The sequence below is a fragment of the Homo sapiens genome, chromosome 7 (genome assembly GCF_000001405.40).
Source record: "Homo sapiens chromosome 7, GRCh38.p14 Primary Assembly".
Lineage (NCBI taxonomy): Eukaryota > Metazoa > Chordata > Mammalia > Primates > Hominidae > Homo > Homo sapiens.
Window position 1 is genome coordinate 77,675,700 of NC_000007.14, and position 19,076 is coordinate 77,694,775.

At 43.3% G+C, this 19,076-nt stretch overlaps 1 long non-coding RNA gene across 4 annotated transcripts in view, besides 2 other annotated features; it reads right to left on the reverse strand.

Annotated features, from left to right (window-relative positions):
* The window catches only part of APTR (Alu-mediated CDKN1A/p21 transcriptional regulator), a 39,686-nt gene that overhangs the window by 18,040 nt on the left and 2,570 nt on the right, over window positions 1-19,076 (reverse strand). For 2 of the 4 annotated variants that reach the window (NR_134251.1, NR_134253.1), the window contains exon 2: window positions 9,503-9,629. The exons of 1 other annotated variant lie outside the window; for it this stretch is intronic. This is a non-coding gene — a long non-coding RNA (Alu-mediated CDKN1A/p21 transcriptional regulator). Of the gene's footprint in view, window positions 1-8,151; window positions 8,553-9,502; window positions 9,630-19,076 lie in introns of those variants that run through there. One more of the 4 variants, NR_038361.1, reaches the window with a different exon arrangement.
* Window positions 639-813: a silencer, noted in NCBI's record as "fragment chr7:77305655-77305829 (GRCh37/hg19 assembly coordinates)". NCBI's record gives its function as "represses an EF-1alpha promoter that drives an FKBP-Casp9 reporter gene in an ReSE screen in HepG2 liver carcinoma cells {active_cell/tissue: HepG2}" and the evidence as "EXISTENCE:reporter gene assay evidence [ECO:0000049][PMID:32094911]".
* Window positions 16,369-16,868: an enhancer, noted in NCBI's record as "H3K4me1 hESC enhancer chr7:77321385-77321884 (GRCh37/hg19 assembly coordinates)". NCBI's record gives its function as "activates a minimal SCP1, AML or CMV promoter by ChIP-STARR-seq in naive H9 embryonic stem cells {active_cell/tissue: H9 hESC(naive)}" and the evidence as "EXISTENCE:reporter gene assay evidence [ECO:0000049][PMID:30033119]".

Sequence of the window (19,076 nt, forward strand, 5' to 3'; positions counted from 1 at the left end):
GGGGTTACAGGCGTGAGCCACCAGGCACAGCCTGGTACATTTTTTAATCGGGTGTTTTCTTATTGATGAGTTTTAAGATTCTTTGTCAGCCGGGGGCGTTGGCTCACGCCTGTAATCCCAGCACTTTGGGAGGCTGAGGCGGGTGAATCACAAGGTCAGGAGATTGAGACCATCCTGGCTAACACGGTGAAACCCCGTCTCTACTAAAAATACAAAAAAATTAGTCGGGCGTGGTGTGGGTGCCTGTAGTCCCAGCTACTCGGAAGGCTGAGGCAGGAGAATGACATGAACCTGGGATGCAGAGCTTGCAGTGAGGCGAGATCGCGCCACTGCTCTCCAGCCTGGGGGACAGAGCGAGACTCCCTCTCAAAGAATTTTTTGTCTATTTTAGATAATAGTCTTGTATCGGATATGTCTTACAAATATTTTCTCCCAATCTGTGGCTTCTCTTTTTATCCACTTGACAGTGTCTTTTGCAGAGCACAAATTTTCAATTTTAAGGAAGTCCAACTTATTGGTTCTTTCTTTCATGTACCATGCCTTTGGTGTTGTACCTAAAAAGTCACCGCGAAGCCATAGGTCATCTGGATTTAATTCTGTCTTATCTTTTAGGTGTTTTCATGCTTTTGCATTGCATTTTATATTTAGACATGTGACAATTTTTTTTTTTTGAGACAGAGACTCACTCTGTTGTCCAGGCTGGAGTGCAGTGGTGCGATCTCAGCTCACTGCAACCTCCGCCTACCGGGTTCAAGCAATTCTCTGCCTCAGCCTGCAGAGCAGCTGGGATTACAGGCATCCACTTACTGTAGCTTTACAGTAGTCTTTTTTTTTTTTTTTTTGAGATGGAGTCTCACTCTGTTGCCCAGGCTAGAGTTCAATGGCGAGATCTCGGCTCACTGCAACCTCCACCACCCAGGTTCAAGCAATTTTCATGCCTCAGCCTCCTGAGGAATAGCTGGGATTACAGGCGCCCACCACCATGCCTGGCTAATTTTTGTATTTGTAGTAGAGACGGGGTTTCACCATGTTGGTCAGGCTGGTCTCGAACTCCTGACCTCAGGTAATCCACCCGCCTCAGCCTCCCAAAGTGCTGGGATTATAGGTGTGAGCCACCACGCCTGGCCAGTAAGTCTTGAAGTTGGGTAGTGCCATCCTCTAACTTTGTTATTCTCCTTCAATATTGCGTTGCTCATTCTTGGTCTTTTCCCTCCTCCATATATACTTTATTATTATTTTTTGGTGAGACAGAATCTTGCTCCATCACCCAGGCTGGAGTGCAGTGGCACGATCTCGGCTCACTTCAACCTCTCCCTCCTGGGCTCAAGGGATTCTCCTGCCTCAGCCTCCTGAGTAGCTGGGATTACAGGCGCCCACAACCATACCCAGCTGATCTTTGTATTTTTAGTAGAGACAGGGGTTTACCATGTCATGTTGGCCAGGCTGGTCTCAAACTCCTGACAGGTGATATGCCCGCCTTGGCCTCCCAAAGTGCTGGGACTATAGGTGTGAGCCACTTCGCCTGGCCCATATAAACTTTAGAATCGGTTTGTTTATATCTACAGAATGATCTCCTGACATTTTGAAAAGGACTGCATTGAATCTATAGATGAAGTTGGGAAGAACATCATGACAATATCGAGTTTTCCTAAACAAAAACATGAAATACCTCAATATTTGTTTAATTGTTCTTTGATTTCTTTCATCAGGTTTTCAAAGTTTTCCTCTTACAGATCTTGTACACATTTATTAGATTTATACCTAAGTATTTAATTTTTGGGGGCATGCTAATATAAATGGTATTATGCTTTTACTTTCAAATTCCACTTTCTTTTTTTTTTTTTAGACCGAGTCTCACTCTGTTGCCCAGGGTGAAGTGCAGTGGCATGATCTAGGCTCACTGAAACCTCTGCCTCTTGAGTTCGAGCAATTCTTGTGCCTCAGCCTCCCGAGCAGCTGGGACTACAGGTGTTAGCCACCATGCTCAGCTAATTTTTGTATTTTTAGTACAGACAGGGATTCACCATGTTGGTCATGTTGGTCAGGCTGGTCTCGAACTCCTGAACTCAGGTGATCCACCCGACTCCGCCTCTCAAAGTTCTGGGATTATAGGCATGGGCCACTACACCTGGCCTCCACTTGTTCTTTAAAGTATTTTTAAAACAATTTTTCCTTGCTTTGCTTTTGCTTTGGCAATAGATAACCAGGTCATTTCTCTGCCATTCCTCCCCCAAATCCTACTCATTTTTTTTTTTTTTAAGACAAAGTCTCACTCTGTCGCCCGGGCTGGAGTGCAGTGGCACAATCTCGGCTCACTACAACCTCCACCTCCTGGTGATTCTCCTGCCTCAGCCTCCTGAGTAGCTGGGACTACAGGTGTGTGCCACCATGCCCAGCTAATTTTTGTATTTTTAGTAGAGACAGGGTTTTGCCATGTTGACCAGGATGTTTTCAATCTCTTGACCTCGTGATCCGCCCGCCTTGGCCTCCCAAAGTGCTGGGATTACAGGGGTGAGCCACTGTGCCCGGCCTATTTTTCTGTATTTTTAGTAGAGATGGGGTTTCACCATCTTGGCCAGGCTGGTCCTGAAATCCTGACCTCGTGATCCACCCGCCTCAGCCTCCCAAAGTGCTGGGATTACAGGCGCGAACCACTGTGCCCAGCCTATAACACAGTTTTTTTCTTTTTCTTTTTTTTTTGAGATGAGAGTCTCGCTATGTTGCCTAGGCTAGACTTGAACTCCTGGGATCGTGGGGTCCTCCTGCCTCAGCCTCCTGAGTAGCTGGGGCTACAGGTGCATGCCACGGCACCCAGCTAGAATGCTGGAATTCCTTTCACTTCTCATTCCTTTTCTGTTCTTTTTAGAGTAGCTTCTTTAACTCTCTGTAGAGCCCTGTTGATTTCCTTTGTAATTGGTATGAAGATTTTATACATGTATGAATGTATTATGCATATAATTTTTTGGTGTAATTTCTCTATCCCGTGAGGCCTGGATTATGTTCAGTTAGTTTGCTGCTGTATACTTAAAACTTAGCATAATGACTGCTAGCATATAGTAGGAGCTCAGTAAACATTTGCTGAAAGAAGGAAGACTCAGAGTATATTTTTATTGAAATGATTCACTGATACCAAACTATCTGAATAGTTTGTTCTTTATATCTTTTTATATATACCCTTTAGAAAAAGGTAAAAATGTCCCTGAACTATGGCTTATGGGCTGTCAAACTAGCCACATGACATAACGTGATCTTGGAAAAATGGGCCATCTGAGAATACCACAAATACAAAAAACCTAATTCTGAAACATTCAACTGCTATTCCCAACATCCCCACATGGTGTTGGTTTTCTTTTTTCTTTTTTTTTTTTTTTTTTTGAGATGGAGTCTCTCTCTGTCGTCCAGGCTGGAGTGCAGTGGCGTGATATTGGCTCACTGCCAGCTCTGCCTCCTGGGTTCATGCCATTCTCCTGCCTCAGCCTCCTGGGTTGGGACTACAGGCGCCCGCCACCAAGCCTGGCTAATTTTTAAAAAAATATTTTTAGTAGAGATGGGGTTTCACTGTGTTAGCCAGGATGGTCTCGATCTCCTGACCTCATGATCTGCCTGCCTCGGCCTCCCAAAGGGTGTTAGTTTTTATGACAATTTAAACATATACAGGCTGGGCGCGGTGGCTCACGCCTGTAATCCCAGCGCTTTGGGAGGCCAAGGCAGGTAGATCACCTGAAGTCAGGAGTTTGGGACTAGTGTGGCCAACATGTGAAACCCTATCTCCGCTAAAAATACAAAAATTAGCCAGGTGTGGTGGCGGGTGCCTGTAATCCCAGCTACTCGGGAGACTGAGGCAGGAGAATCGCTTGAACCTAGGAGGCGGAGGTTGCAGTGAGCTGAGATCGTGTCACTGCACTCCAACCTGGGTGACAGAATGAGACTCTGTCTCAAAAACAAACAAACAAACAAACAAACAACAAAATATAGATCCTGAAACTTGCAAAAAAAATTAAAAAAATAAACATACAAAAGATATATGTAGTTCCAAATATCAGCTTACAGTAATATGACTGGAAGTCATGGGTGAGGGAATAAAACAAACATACACTAAACTGGACAAACAGGTTTTTGAGTCTATTAGAGTCCAAAGGTGGCAAAGTTATAGTTAAATGAATAGTGCACAAAAATTGCTAAAAGAACAATGATGAGAGGAAGGGGAGTCACTTACTGAGAAATATATTTTTGTGAGTAGTAGACATTATATTCTTGACCAAGAGGGTGTAGGACACAGACTGCTGTGTGGCCACAAAGGGGACTAAATTAAAGAGGATAGATGGATTCTTTTTTTTTGGGAGGGAGTCTCACTCTGCTGGAGTGCAGTGGTCCGCCTCCCGGGTTCAAGTGATTCTCCTGCCTCAGCCTCCTGAGTAGCTGGGATGGATTACAGGCGCCCACCACCACGCCCATCTAATTTTTGTATTTTTAGTAGACACGGGGTTTGACCATGTTGGCCAGGATGGTCTCGATCTCTTGACCTCGTGATCCGCCCGCCTCAGTCTCCCAAAGTGCTGGGATTACAGGCGTGAGCCATCGTGCCCGGCCAGACGATAGATGGATTCTTTTTTTTTTTTTTTTTTTTTGAGCAAATTGAGCTACTTGAGCCTCGGCCTCCCAAAGTGCTGGGATTACTGGCGTCAGCCACTGCACCCAGCCTGATGGACAGATTCTTACAAATCCAATCCCATTACTGAAAAGCAACTCCAAGCACAGGCCCTATAATAATAGGTCAGTAGCATCTTTATCATCCCCATCCATGTACATTCCTTTCATTTTGCTAACACACTATAAAATAAACATGGAATACATAGTCATAAAACATGGAACTTCAAGACTAAATTCAAGAAACAAAGATTTAAAACAAGGGTATATTTTTTTTTACGAATGGCCAGTCCTCTATGACTACCTAACATAATTGCTGCATACTGGACTTCCACATAAGATTTAATTTGAAGAAAGGCTTCTATTACTTTAAAAAATCTTAAAACTACCTGTCTAAACAATGGCAAAACTATTACAAATACATGTGGATTTAGGCCAGGTGTGGTGGCTCACACCTGTAATCCTAGCACTTTGGGAAGTTGAGGAGGGCAGATCACTTGAGCCCAGGAGTTTGAGACCAGCCTGGGCAACATGGTGAGACTCCGTCTCTACTAAAAATACAAAAAGGAGACGGGCGTGGTGGTGGGCACCTGTAATCCCAGCTGCTAAGGAGGCTGACGTGGGAGGATCACCCGAGCCCGGGAGGTTGAGGCTGCGGTGAGCCGTGATTGTGACACTGCACTTCAGCCTGCATGACAGAGTTAAGACCCTGTCTCAAACAACAACAATAACAAAACAAAAACCCACAAATACATGTGTTAAAAAAAAAGCAGCATTTCAAAATGCTTTGGTTGACTTAACCTAAATAAAGCCAAAAATCATCAAATATTCCATGGCACACAAATATCTAAAATGCAGAAAATATAATGCACAAAAATATTTTCTGTATTAATACATTAATTAACATATTGCTGAGTTCTGGATTTTGCTGACTTACAAATAGGCACCAAAGAAGTACATCTGAGTTTGAGGTGTATCCCTAGCCTTGAAAACTCGATCACAGTGTTTTGTAATCTCAGGCACATGTCTAATGTATGACTTGTATAAAAAGGACAGGTTGTCCTTAATACTTGAAGATTAAGTAGCTAGACTAGTGCATGTTTTGCCTATAGCCCTCCCCATGCTGATGAGATACTATTACACTGTTCACAGCTATGATTTCGCTTGGTAGGACCCCATCTTCAGTCAGTTTGGGCTGGTGTAATAAAGTACCATAAACTGGATAGCTTAAAGACAATTTATTTCTCACAGCTCCGGAGGCCGAATGTCCAAGATCAGAGTGCCATTGTAGGGTTCTGGTGAGGGCTCTTTTCCAGGCCGACTTCTTGTATCCTCACATGGCAGAAAGGGAGTGAGCTAGCTCTATGGACTCTTCTTATATGGCACTAATCCCATCCACGAGGGTTCCACTCTCATGACCTATTACCTCCCAAAGACCCCATCTCCAAAACCCATCACATTGGGAATTAGGTTTCAACATATGAACAGGAAGGGAAACATACATCCATAACCAGCCATATTTTTGCTTTTGACTCCACTTCTGCCTAATGGGATTAAATGATACTTTTTTTCTTAAATGTAAATATTTTTTGCCTATAACTGTTGCATATCACCATCCTGTCTTGAGTTAAAGATAAAATATTTCCCAATTTCTTCAACCTTTAACATAAACTGTACTACAAATGTAAACAAATTGTTTTCCCACCACAATGGCTTTAAAAAGTAGAATAAACACTGCAATCAAGACATCACTTTAAGTTAAATTATTATTTTTTGTTTTTTGCATCAGGGCCTTGCTCTGTTGTCCAGGCTGGAGTGCAGTGGCATGATCATGACTCACTGCAGCCTCAACCTCGTGGGCTCAAGCAATCCTCCCACCTCGGCATCCCAAGTAGCTAGGACTACAGACATATAGTACCATGCCAGCTTAATTTTTTAATTAATTTTAATTTTTAGTAGAGAAAAGGTGATATGGTTTGGCTTTGTCCCCACTCAAATCTCATCTTCAATTGTAGCTCCCAGAACTCCCACATGTGGTGGGAGGGACCCGGTGGGAACTGAATCATGGGGACGCTTTCCCCATACTGTTCTCATGGTAGTGAATAAGTCTCACGAGATCTGATGATTTTATAAGGGGTTTCCCTTCTCACTTGGCTCTCATTTCTCTTTTGTCTGCCGCCACCTAAGACATGCCTTTCACCTTCCGCCATGATTGAGGCCTCTCCAGCCACATGGAACCGTGAGTCCATTAAACCTCTTTTTCCTTATAAATTACCCAGTCTTGGGTATGTCTTTATCAGCAGCATGAGAACGAACTAATATACAAGGGCTGATCTCAAACTCCTGACCTCAAGCAATCCTCCTACCTTGGCATCCCAAAGTATTGGGATTACAGGCGTGAACTACTGCACCTGGCCTAAGGTCAATTCTTGAATACAGAGACTGAGTAAAGATAGGACGTTGATAATTTGGACTCTTAAACATAAACCAACTCTTTAAAGCCTTTACATCATCTCATCAGTGTTGCCTGAAGTTTTTGACCAAGTAGCTCAATTTGCTAGGGCTGCTGTAACAAAGTATCACAAACTGGATAGTTTAAACAACAGACATTTGCCTCACAGTTCCTGAGGCTACAAGTCCAAGATCAAGGTGTCAGCGGGACTGATTCCTTCTGAGGGCTGTGAGGAGAATCTGTCCCAGGACCCTCGCCTAGCTTCTGACAGTTTGCTGGCTACCTTCGGAGTTCCTTGGCTTGTAAAAGCATTACCCCAATGTCCGCCTTTACCTTCAAAAGGCATAGGTATTCTTCCCGTTTGTGTGTCTCTGTTCAAATTTTCTGTTCTTGGAAGGACATTAGTCATACTGGATTAGGGATTGGGGGCCCACCTTTTCGCTCCTTCTTTTCTTCTTTCTTTTGTTTGTTTGCTTGTTTGTTTGAGACAGAGTCTAGCCCTGTCTCCTAAGCTGGAGTGCAGTGGTGTGATCTTGGTTCACTGCAAACTCCACCTCCCAGGTTTAAGCGATTCTCCTGCCTCACCCTCCCGAGTAGCTGGGATTACTTACAGGTGTCCGCCACCAAAATACAAAATAATTTTTGTATTTTTAGTAGAGATGGGGTTTCACTATGTTGGCCAGGCTGGTCTCGAACTCCTGACCTCAGGTGATCCGCCCGCCTTGGCCTCCCAAAGTGCTGGGATTACAGGTGTGAGACATCAAGCCCAGCCTAATTTGTGTATTTTTAGTAGAGACGGAGTTTCACCATGTTGCCCAGGTTGCTCTTGATCTCCTGACTTCAGGTGATCCACCCACCTTGGCCTCCCCAGAGTGCTGCGATTACAGGTGTGAGCCACCATGCCTGGCCTCCTATTGCTTCTTAACTTGACCTCATTAACTATTGCATCTGCAATGATAGTATTTCCAAATAAGGTCACAGTTTGAGATAATGAGGGTTAGAACTTAAACATGAATTTTTGAGGTACACAATTTAACCTGTAATACACCATATTATGTCTATATTTATTTATTTATAAATTATTTGGATCCAGTACTATAATAACAATTACACACATTGTAACTCCTACACAATTTGAAATTTTCAAGTTAAGACAAAGGTAACTATATATAGAAGCAGTATGTTTTCTGAACCCTTACAGATTGTTTTGCACACTCCTGGATTACACACATCTCATCAATCTCAAGAATAAAATCAAAGTCTTTGGCTTGACAGCCTTCCACAATCTGACCTCTGTTTTCTCGCCAGCCTCATCTCCTGTCATTCACAACATTTCCAGCATTCCAACCAGTCTGAACTTTTGCAGTTTCCCACGTGCGCTAGGCTCTTTCTTCATCAGCATCTCTATGCATGCTGTCTCCTGCTACTGGAATGCCCTCATTCTCGTTGCTTCCTGTGAACACGTGGTAAACTCCAATCATCTTCTGAAACTCGGCTCAAACGTCATCTCCCCTGGGGAGCCTTCACTGACTGCCCTGGGCAGCATGAAGCATTTTGTCAGTGCCCCGTAGCACCGTGGTCATATCTTTATTATTGCAAATTTCTGTTTCCACATATAATGTCAGGTGGAACCGATAGCTGGCTTACAAAAACAATGCAATTTCAGGTGGTTCTACTTAACATTCCCTAGACAACAAGTTCACTGAGAGCAGGGACTGTGTTTTATTTATTTTATATTTCCAGTCCCTAAAATGGAGTTTGGCATAAAGTAAATGCTTAATACAGGCTTTCTGAAATTAAGGAAAAGCTTACTCTAGCACTACAGTCTACTTGCAGATTTTCCTTTTTGAGAACGGGGTAGTAAATTGATGTCTTCTATAACAATAACTATTAACTATTACTTAAATTTTCTTTGACTTTATTTAGCTTAACATTATTTTAAACAATTCCTTCCCCTCTTTGTTTGCTTCTGTATATGTGATAAAATATCTTCAAAAAATATACTCTTTTTGTTTGTTTGTTTTTAATTGGTGACTGGGGTTTCACTATGTTGCCCAGGTTGGGCTCAAGCAATTCTCTTGCTTCAGCTTACTGGGCAGTTGGGAATATAAGCATTTGCCACTGTGCCTGGCCTTATTTTTTAAAAATACAGAAAAATCAGGAAGAAGGTACCTAAGTACTGTTTTGTAACCAATACCAAAGTATTTCACAATTTTACTGTCTTACTTTCAAAATATTTTAATCCTTCCAATGAGAATTACACGTAATCATAAGTAGGAATATAAATAGGAAAGCTAAAGAGATTAGTTGAGTAAAATGAATATGACATTTAAAATTCTAACAATTATTTAGTAACAGCAAAGGTAAATCTAATTCCCAAATTTCAAGTGTCCCTAATATTACCTGTTTTGAAGAAAAGCTGTGATACCGGCAACAGTGTTTAAGTATCACACGGGTAGTTAAAAGGCAAGTTGGTCCTATCTGACATGTGGAAATGGCCAGCTCGTTAGAAGGCAGTACCTGGTGAAGCCTGTGAGGAATGAGCAGGAAGTCAAAATGGTTACGTAAACATTTTTCACTCTTCCTCATTAAAGCCCTTAAGTTAACAAAAGGTATTTACTGACTCCTCAGCATGCCAAGGCAGTCAAGAGCAACACTTTACACAATCTGGCTCTCACCCATTTTAGAGAGCCCTCTCCTTTTACGGCACTTCGTGTCCCTTATCCTTGAACCACAATGAACTTCTCATAAACAATACCACATTGAGTGTGTCATTACTCTCATCTCTTTCCAAATGCTTGTTCCTCAGCCTAGAAAGTCTTTCCCCATGTTCTTTGCTTACTAATCTCATTATATTATTAATTACATTGTCACACAGTGCTGGGCCCATTGTAGACACTTAATACTGTTTGACTGTCATCAGTAATAAATAGGATCACAGTCTTGAACAACAGAGCAACACAGTCTTTTTTTTTATTATACTTTAAGTTTTAGGGTACATGTGCAAAATGTGCAGGTTTGTTACATATGTATACATGTGCCATCTTGGTGTGCTGCACCCATTAACTTGTCATTTAGCATTAGGTATATCTCCCAATGCTCTCCCTCCCACCTCACCCCAACAACATAGTCTTAAACAACAGATTATTTGGAAACAGATCTTGTGATTAAAGTTAACTCCATGAGGACAGAGACCATGTCTGCCATATCTCTTGCTATATTCTAGCACTTAGCCTAGTGCCTGGCAACAGGTAGGTGTTAAGTATTTACTGACTAAACACTTAATATACGTGAAAAATAAGAAAAAGTAGACTTATTGGGTTAGCTTTAAAAGTTAAATAAAAGAGTGGTTAGGCCCGGCGCGGTGGCTCATTCCTGTAATCCCAGCACTTTGGGAGGCCGAGGCGGGTGGATCACGAGGTCAGGAGATCGAGACCATCCTGGCTAACACGGTGAAACCCCGTCTCTGCTAAAAATACGAAAAAAATTAGCCGAGCGCGGCAGCGGGTGCCTGTAGTCCCAGCTACTGGGGAGGCTGAGGCAGGAGAATGGCGTGAACCCGGGAGGCGGAGCTTGCAGTGAGCCGAGATCCCGCCACTGCACTCCAGCCTGGGCGACAGAGCGAGACTCCGTCTCAAAAAAAAAAAAAAAAAAAAAAAAAAAAAAAGAGAGAGAGGTTATTTCCTTGATGGGTCTTTAGCTGTTTTAATTATTCATCTATTTTCAAACTAATGGTATAGAAGTAGTTATTAATTTGAGGGGAATCAAGAAGAGCCAGCACTTGAATCTGAGGCAAAATATGTATTAGGATAGCATCATATTGTTACCTCAAGGCACATAAATCATACAGACAAGCTTTTCAAAGCAGAATCTGCAAAATTAAAATTATGAAATAACTTTGTGACAGTCATAGTTTTGTACTTTGTTGGCTCTACTGGCATGTGCAGTATTTGTACAAAACTGCACTCTTCTAACTGTGGGTTATCAGTTATCAGGAACCCGATCCTGTAAAAACTAATCTACTCCTGGATAATGGCATTAATCCTTTCATGAGGGCGGAGCCCTCATAACCTAATCACCTCTTAAAGGTCCCACCTCTGAACACTGTTGCATTAGAGATTAAGTTTCTAACCCATGAACTCTGGGGGACACACAACTTTCGGGGACACATTCAAACCTGTTCTTTTCTATGAGATAAAAGCACTGGAATCTACCAGCACTCTAAGAAACACTGCATCTTTTTTGAATGCCTATTTTCTAAACATAAAACTTAAATTAACTTAAACTTCTAAAGAGCCCTGACCAATGTCTGGATTTAACATTTTGATGCTTTAGACTTCTGCTTCCTCTTGCAAAATAGGATATATTAGAAAGAAAACTGGTGTAGAGTCAGAATAAACATGAAATTCCAGCTCAGTTTTGAAAAATGCCTTGGAAAGCTTTGTAGAACTGGGATGATGCATAACACCCACAAACATAAGAGATACACAAGGCACTCAGTAAACACTATCCTCTTAACCACAAGTGGTCTGACAGTGTGGCTCAAACTATGAAGCCAAGAATGGTTATTCTGGAGGTTATTCACTGTTCAAAAAGAAAGTAAAGGATAGTAAAGAAAATTAACAAATTACGTACAGGGCTGCATTTGCAATTCAGACATTCTATGAGTCTATCATTTTTCCTTACATTTCTTTGCCAGACCTAGGCTTCAAGGTGTGGATAAATACACTTTACTCTCTACCTACCAGTTCTTACCTAAAATAGCTTCCTCTTCCTGGAGAATTGACTGGAACCACAAACCTTTTTTTTTTTTTTAAACAACCACAAAACTTAAGCTTTTCTTTTCAGAGATTTATATTATTGAATAAGGCTCCTGATACACATTTTATAGGCCTCCTATCCCTTTCTTAAAATAAGTATCAAAATGAGCTGATGTTCTTCCATATGAAAATTCTGGCAGCATAATTAACCCCAGGAGAGACATTTATGGATAGTTTCTATTTACTCTATTTGGCCCCTTTTACTCTCTCTACCTTTTGCTTCCTGCTGTGTGGCTGCTAATGGCTCTTCAGTGAAGCCTTTAAGCAGTGGCTGATGCCTGTACTACAATTTTCAACTTTATTTTCCCCCAGTTTGCTCTCCTTAAGTACACATTCAAACTGGAAAGAAGACTGTGGTTGAGCAAGTGGTTAGGCTATATTTGTAGTGAGACAATTTTCTGGTTAAGAGGTGAGAATTTGGCTGGGCATGGTGGCTGACGCCTGTAATTCCAGTACTCTGGGAGGCTGAAGTGGGTGGAGGCCTCACTTGAGGCCAGGAGTTTGAGACCAGACTGGCCAACATGGTGAAACCCCGTCTGTACTAAAAATACAAAAATTAGCTGGGCGTGGTGGTGCATGCCTGTAATCCCAGCTACTTGGGAGGCTGAGGTGGGAGAATTGCTTGAACCCAGAAGGCAGAGGCTGCAGTGAGCTGAAATCACGCCACTGCATTCTAGCCTGGGCAACAGAGTGAGACTTGGTCTCAGAAAAATAAAGAGTTGAGAATTCAATTTACCTGAATTACCTGAAATGTTGAATAAGCAAAATATGAGCTGAAAGCTTACAATCTTCATAATTACTGCCCCACATCGCCTTCTCCAAATTTCAGGAAAGAGAGAAAGGGGTTTCCTCTCCTCTTCACCCAGGAACTTCCCTGAAAACCTCACCCAAAGACTTTCCCTGACATGTCACTGCTATCCCTAAGAGAAAGAAGGGCAAGCAACTTTTTTTTTTCTTAGCTAGATACTTTGCAATCTCAATGAATTAAGGGATCAGGTAATAAGGAAGAAGGGAGAAACAGATACTTGGCAGGAAATGAGCAGTCTCTGTCATAGATATGCTGAGTTTTAAGTGCTGACATATCTGTGGAAGATGTGGAGTAGTTAGATCACAAACACAGAGGAGCAGTCAGGTTTAGAGATATAAATTGGGGAGCCATTAACAAAAAAAAAAATTATTTATTTATTTATTTTTGAGGTGGAGTCTCACACTGTCGCCCAGGCTGGAGTGCAATGGCTCAATGCAATCTCCACCTCCCAGGTTCATGTGATTCCCCCGCCTCAGCCTCCCAAGTAGCAGGGTTTACAGGTGCACACCACCACACCTGGCTAATTTTTTGTATTTTTAGTAGAGATGGGGTTTCACTATGTTAGCCAGGCTGGTCTCGAACTCCTGACCTCAGGCAGTCTGCCCACCTCAGCCTCCCAAAGTGCTGGGATTACAGGAGTGAGCCACTGCACCTAGCCTGAAAAACAATTTATTGAATACAAAAATTAGCCGGGCATGGTGGCGGGTGCCTGTAATCCCAGCTACTTGGGAGGCTGAGGCAGGAGAATTGCTTGAACCCGGGAGGCGGAGGTTGCAGTGAGCTGAGACTGCACCACTGCACTCCAGCCTGGGCGACAGAGTGAGACTCCATCTCAAAAAACAAAACAAAACAAAACAAAAAACAAAAAACACAAAATTCATAGGAGCCAGCAAACTATGACCTACAGGCCAAACCCATCCTGTCTCCTGTTTCCATAAAGTTGTTTTGGAACACAGCCATGCCCATTCCTTTATATCTTGTCTATGGCTGCTTTTGTGCTATGAGCAGCAGCTGCCACAGAGACCACAAAGCCTAAAATATTTACAAATATTTTAGGTCTGCAAAGCCTAAAATATTTACTATACGTCTGTTTACAGAAAAAGTTTGCTGGCCCCTGTACTAGAGTATGGACTACACTGGAACTGACAGCATGAAAGTTTAAAGGTTTCAGGTTTTCTGAAAGCAGAGTACCAGCCTTTATAACTGGCCAGTGATTGATTGATTCAAATGAGAAAGACACATAAAGATGAGCAGGTCGGCTGGGCGTGGTGGCTCATGCCTGTAATCCCAGTACTTTGGGAGGCCAAGGCGGGCAGATCACCTGAGGTCGGGAGTTCGAGACCAGCCTGACTGACCAACATGGAGAAGCCCCGTCTCTACTAAAAATACAAAAAATTAGCCGAGTGTGGTGGCGCATGCCTGTAATCCCAGCTACTCGGGAGGCTGACGCAGGAGAATCAGTTGAACCCGGGAGGCAGAGGTTGCAGTGAGCCGAGATCGTGCCATCGCACTCCAGCCTGGGCAACAAGAGTGAAATTCTGTCTCAAAAAAAAAAAAAGATGAGCAGGTCAACGTGGTGGAGGTAGAGCTTTGAGATATCTATGCCATAAGGACAGAAGAAATGTCCTTTTTTGTTTGTTTGTTTTGAGACGGAATCTCACCCTGTCACCCAGGCTAGAGTGCAATGGCACAGTCTTGCCTGGCTGTAACCTCCGCCTCCCAAGTTCAAGCGATTCTCCTGCCTCAGCCTCTGGAGTAGTTGGGACTACAGGCATGTGCCACCACGCCTGGCTAATTTTTTCATATTTTTAGGAGAGATGAGGTTTCACCTTGTTGGCCAGGCTGGTCTCAAACTCCTGACCTTATGATCTACCTGCCTCGGCCTTCCAAAGTGCTGGGATTACAGGCGTGAGCCACTGCACCTGGCCAGAAATGTCTTTAAGGTTAGTACATGGCTGCATAAAGTACAAGGGTCAAATAACTGCTTTCTTTATACAAGGGGATCAGGAACCTGGACAAGGCCAGAGGGATAGTACATGTGCAGAGTGAAAATACAGTTCAGCTCAGAAAGGCAGAAGGATGTCACGTGCAGAGAAACCAGATTCTAGGTTGTACAGAGGACAGCTCTAAGCACTGCGAACACACATTTGTTATGGCTGGAAGTTTGAATATATTCGATTAGCATCTATTCCAGCAACGGACAAAGACAGGGTTGTGAATTAAAATAAACAAAACTCTCAAAACGATCTTAACAAAACGAAGCTACTCCTTTCTAGATCAGAAGTCAGCCTGCTAGTCTGTGGGTTATAACTGACTCACAGATGTTTGTTTGGCTTGCATGGTGTTTTAGGAAACTTCCCATTAAAAAATCTATATATTTAGCAAGTAGGACCACTATTTCCATAAGGGAACGAGCAGCGAGAGCTGAGAAACACAAATGTATATTGTAGAAAACACATCATATTCCCAGTTTTCTATAGTACCCTCCACTTCCTGTGATCTCACATTCAACCTGACTCTGACTTATTATTTTTTACCCATTGCTATGGTTTCAATGTGTCCCCTCCAAAATTCAGGTGTTGAAACTTAATGGCCAATGTAATGGTATTAAGATGTGGGGCCTTTAAGACGTGTTTAGGCCAGAGGGGTTGCTCTCTTGTGAATGAGGTTTATGGGATTACAAGAGGCTTCATGGGCAAGTGGATCGCTTGAGCCCAGGAGTTTGTGACCAGCCTGGGTAACACAGTGAGGCCCCATCTCTACAAAACATAAGCAAAAATTAGCTGGGAGTTATGGCGAGTGTCTGAAGTCCTAGCTACCTGGGAGGCTGAGGTGGTAGGATCACTTTAGTCCAGGAGGTCGAGGCTGCAGTTGCGCCACTGCACTCCAGCCTGGGCGACAAAACAAGATTCTGTCAGGCCGGGCGTGGTGGCTCACGCCTGTAATCCCAGCACTTTGGGAGGCCGAGGTGGGCGGATCACGAGGTCAGGAGATCGAGACCATCCTGGCTAACACGGTGAAACCCTGTCTCTACTAAAAATACAAAAATTAGCCGGGCGTAGTGGCGGGCGCCTGTAGTCCCAGCTACTCGGGAGGCTGAGGCAGGAGAATGGCGTGAACCCGGGAGGCGGAGCTTGCAGTGAGCTGAGATCGCACCACTGCACTCCAGCCTGGGCGTCAGAGACAGATTCCGTCTCCAAAAAAAAAAAAAAAAAAAAATTCTGTCTCAAAATAAATAAGATAATAGAGGCCTCATGAAGCCTTCAGCCTGCTGCCTTCTACCATGTGAGGCCAATATGTTCCTCCCCTCAGGAGGATGTGGCCCATATCAAACAAATGAACCTGCCAGTGCCGTGATCTTGGGCTCCCAGCCCCTAGAATTGTGACAAAATAAATTTCTGTTCTTTATAAAAGACCCAGTTTCGGCTGGCTATGCTGGCTCATGTCTGTAATCCCAGCACTTTGGGAGACCGTGGTGGTCAGAGTGTTTGAGCCCAGGAGTTCTCGACCAGCCTGGGCAACAACATGGCGAAACCCTGTCTCTACAAAAATACAAAAATTAGCTAGGTATGGTGGCAAATGCCTTAGTCCCAGCTACTCGGGAGGCTGAGGTGGGGGGAATGCTTGAGCCCAGGAGGTCAAGGCTGCAGCGAGCTGTGAAGCTGCCACTGCACTGTAGCCTGGGTGATAGAGCTGAGACCTGACCTCAAAAAAAAAAAAAAAAAAAAGAAAAAAGAAAAAAAAAAGGTGGAGAAGCAGGGTGTAGGGTAGGTAGGGTAGTATGCTTTCGGTAGAGCTGTTACAGAGAATGAAATGGAAAAGGAAGCAAGAGATAACCAGTGAGTCAACAACACCAACGACTGAAAAGCAAAAAGGAATGGAGATGAGAAAAGGCACGTCGCGTTCAACAGGTCCAAGGTCCAAGAGTACCTGAAACTTGTCACTCTTCCACTGTTTCTTGGCTCAGGGAATGGTACCACTGCCAAGTTTTGCTGGTTAGAAATATAGAAGGTATTCATGATATCTGCCTCCCTTATGTTCATTATCCAAATCATCACATAGGCAACAGCCAAAGGAAAAAGCACGTCAAGTAGAGAGAATCACATATGCAATGTTTCTATGTTGAAAGACAACATGGTGGGTTCTGGAGATTAAAGACCTGTTAGTTTGAAATAGAAGAAGGGGATAGTTCATGAAAGGTCTTACAGGACACATTAAGGATTTTGTTTTTTGTCCCGAGAGCAATGAAAGCCATTGACTTCAGGTCTGAAGCAAGGCAAGAGAGATGGTCAGATCCAGGTTTTTTCGTTTTCGTTTTTTTTTTTTTTTTGAGACAGAGTCTCATTCTGTCGCCCAGGCTGGAGTGCAGTGGCGTGATCTTGGCTCGCTGCAACCTCCGTCTCCCAGATTCAAGCGATTCTCTACCACAGCCTCCCGAGTAGCTGGACTACAAGGACGTGCCACCATGCCCAGCTAATTTTTGTATTTTTAGTAGAGACAAAGTTTCACCATGTTGGCTAGGCTGGTCTCAAACTCCTGACCTCAGGTGATCTGCCTGCCTCGGCCTCCCAAAGTGCTGGGATTACAGGCATGAGCCACTGTACCCGGCCAAGGTTTTGAAAAGAGCTTTCTAGCTGTAGAATGGAAAACCTATATGAGATTATAAAGAGATTATGCTAAAAGAAATTGGTGATAGTGGTAGAAAACCTCTGCCAGTTAAGTGTTGACAAGAATAATCTAGTTGAAAGGGAATGGCTAATTACACAGCACAGAAAAGAGATAGTTGCGCATGTTTTAATAACAGACAAGTCCTGTCTTTAGATCTGGGTAAGGGGCCTCTGTTTACTTGGCCCTCCTCTTGCTGTAAAGAACAAGGAGCCCATGAGGTCAGGGGCCATGTCTGCCTGGAGCCTGCCCTCCTCTTTTAGACTGGCTAGATCTGAGGGCAGAGTGAGCTGCCGATTGTACATCACCATTTGCGGAGTAGGGGGATGTGGACATACACCTGGACATGTTGGGTGCATGTATGGCCTTTCCGTGTGGCAGGTGAACTTGGGGATGGGAGGAGAATGGGGTCAGTGTGGGGACTCTAAGAACTCTAAATTCAAACATGGACTTCCAGATCATATGAAAGTGGATCTGTCAAGGTAGTAGAATAGAATGTATTTTATATAATAGTTTGTTATCTTGATTTATTTTTTAAATATTTAGACAGATGGTGTGTGGACCTCTATAGCCACACTCTTGCTTAGGCTCTACAAATTAAGTGCCAGGCCTAATAACAGTGCATGAAAGTATAATGTAATGCAAGGAGTAACAAATTCATGCAGGCAAGGGTGTAGTTTAACTGGGCTCTTAAGAAGTCCGATTTTCCAGACCTGTGTGCTAGAGATTAGAGAATGAGTGGTGCAAGTTTCCAGGCACTACATTAATGTATGTTAGAGACACTTTTCTAGATCAGGAGGGCCAACAATTAAAAAATGAATTCAATTGTAATGGTTTCGGTGTGATTTTGAAAAGCTTCTTGAATATGGCATAAGTTGAGTGTGGAAGGGACCTTAGTGATCACGTAATCAAATATGCTAACTCAACAGGTAAGAAAACGGAGGTCCTAACAAGTGAAGCAGCCTGACTAAGGTCACGAAACTAGTGCGTTAGCAGATGATTTCCAGCCTAATCCACTCAGTCCACTCTCCCACCAATGCTAATTTTCTTGAAGACATCTGCTGCCAGTCAATTCCAATTAGAAAGTTTTCATGTTACATATTAAATACTGTTATTACTTTAAAAAATTTGAGGCACATAAAAATAAGTCCATAAACCAATATTAAATTTGACTCCAAAACATTCTTTTTTTTTTTTTTGAGATGGAGTCTTACTCTGTCACCCAGGCTGGAGTGCAGTGGCACGATCTCAGCTCACTGCAACCTCCACCTCCAGGGGTCAAGCGAGTCTTTTGTCTTAGCCTCCCGAGGAGCTGGGACTACAAGCACGCACCACCACGCCTGGCTAATTTTTTTTGTATTTTTAGTAGAGACGGGGTTGCACCATGTCAGTCAGGCTGGTTTCAAACTCCTGACCTCAGGTGATCCACCCATCACCGCCTCCTAAAGTCTTGGGATTACATGCGTGAGCCACCCACCACTCTTGGCCGAAAAAAAAAAAATTCTTAAAAATATTCTTAAAAAAATGAGTAAATAGGCACTGTCGCCCCGGGTGGAGTGCAATGGCACGAACTCAGCTTACTGCAACCTCTGCCTTACAGATTCAAGGGATTCTTCTGCCTCAGCCTCCAGAGTAGCTGGGACTACAGGCGCATGCCACTACGCCCAGCTAATTATGTATTTTT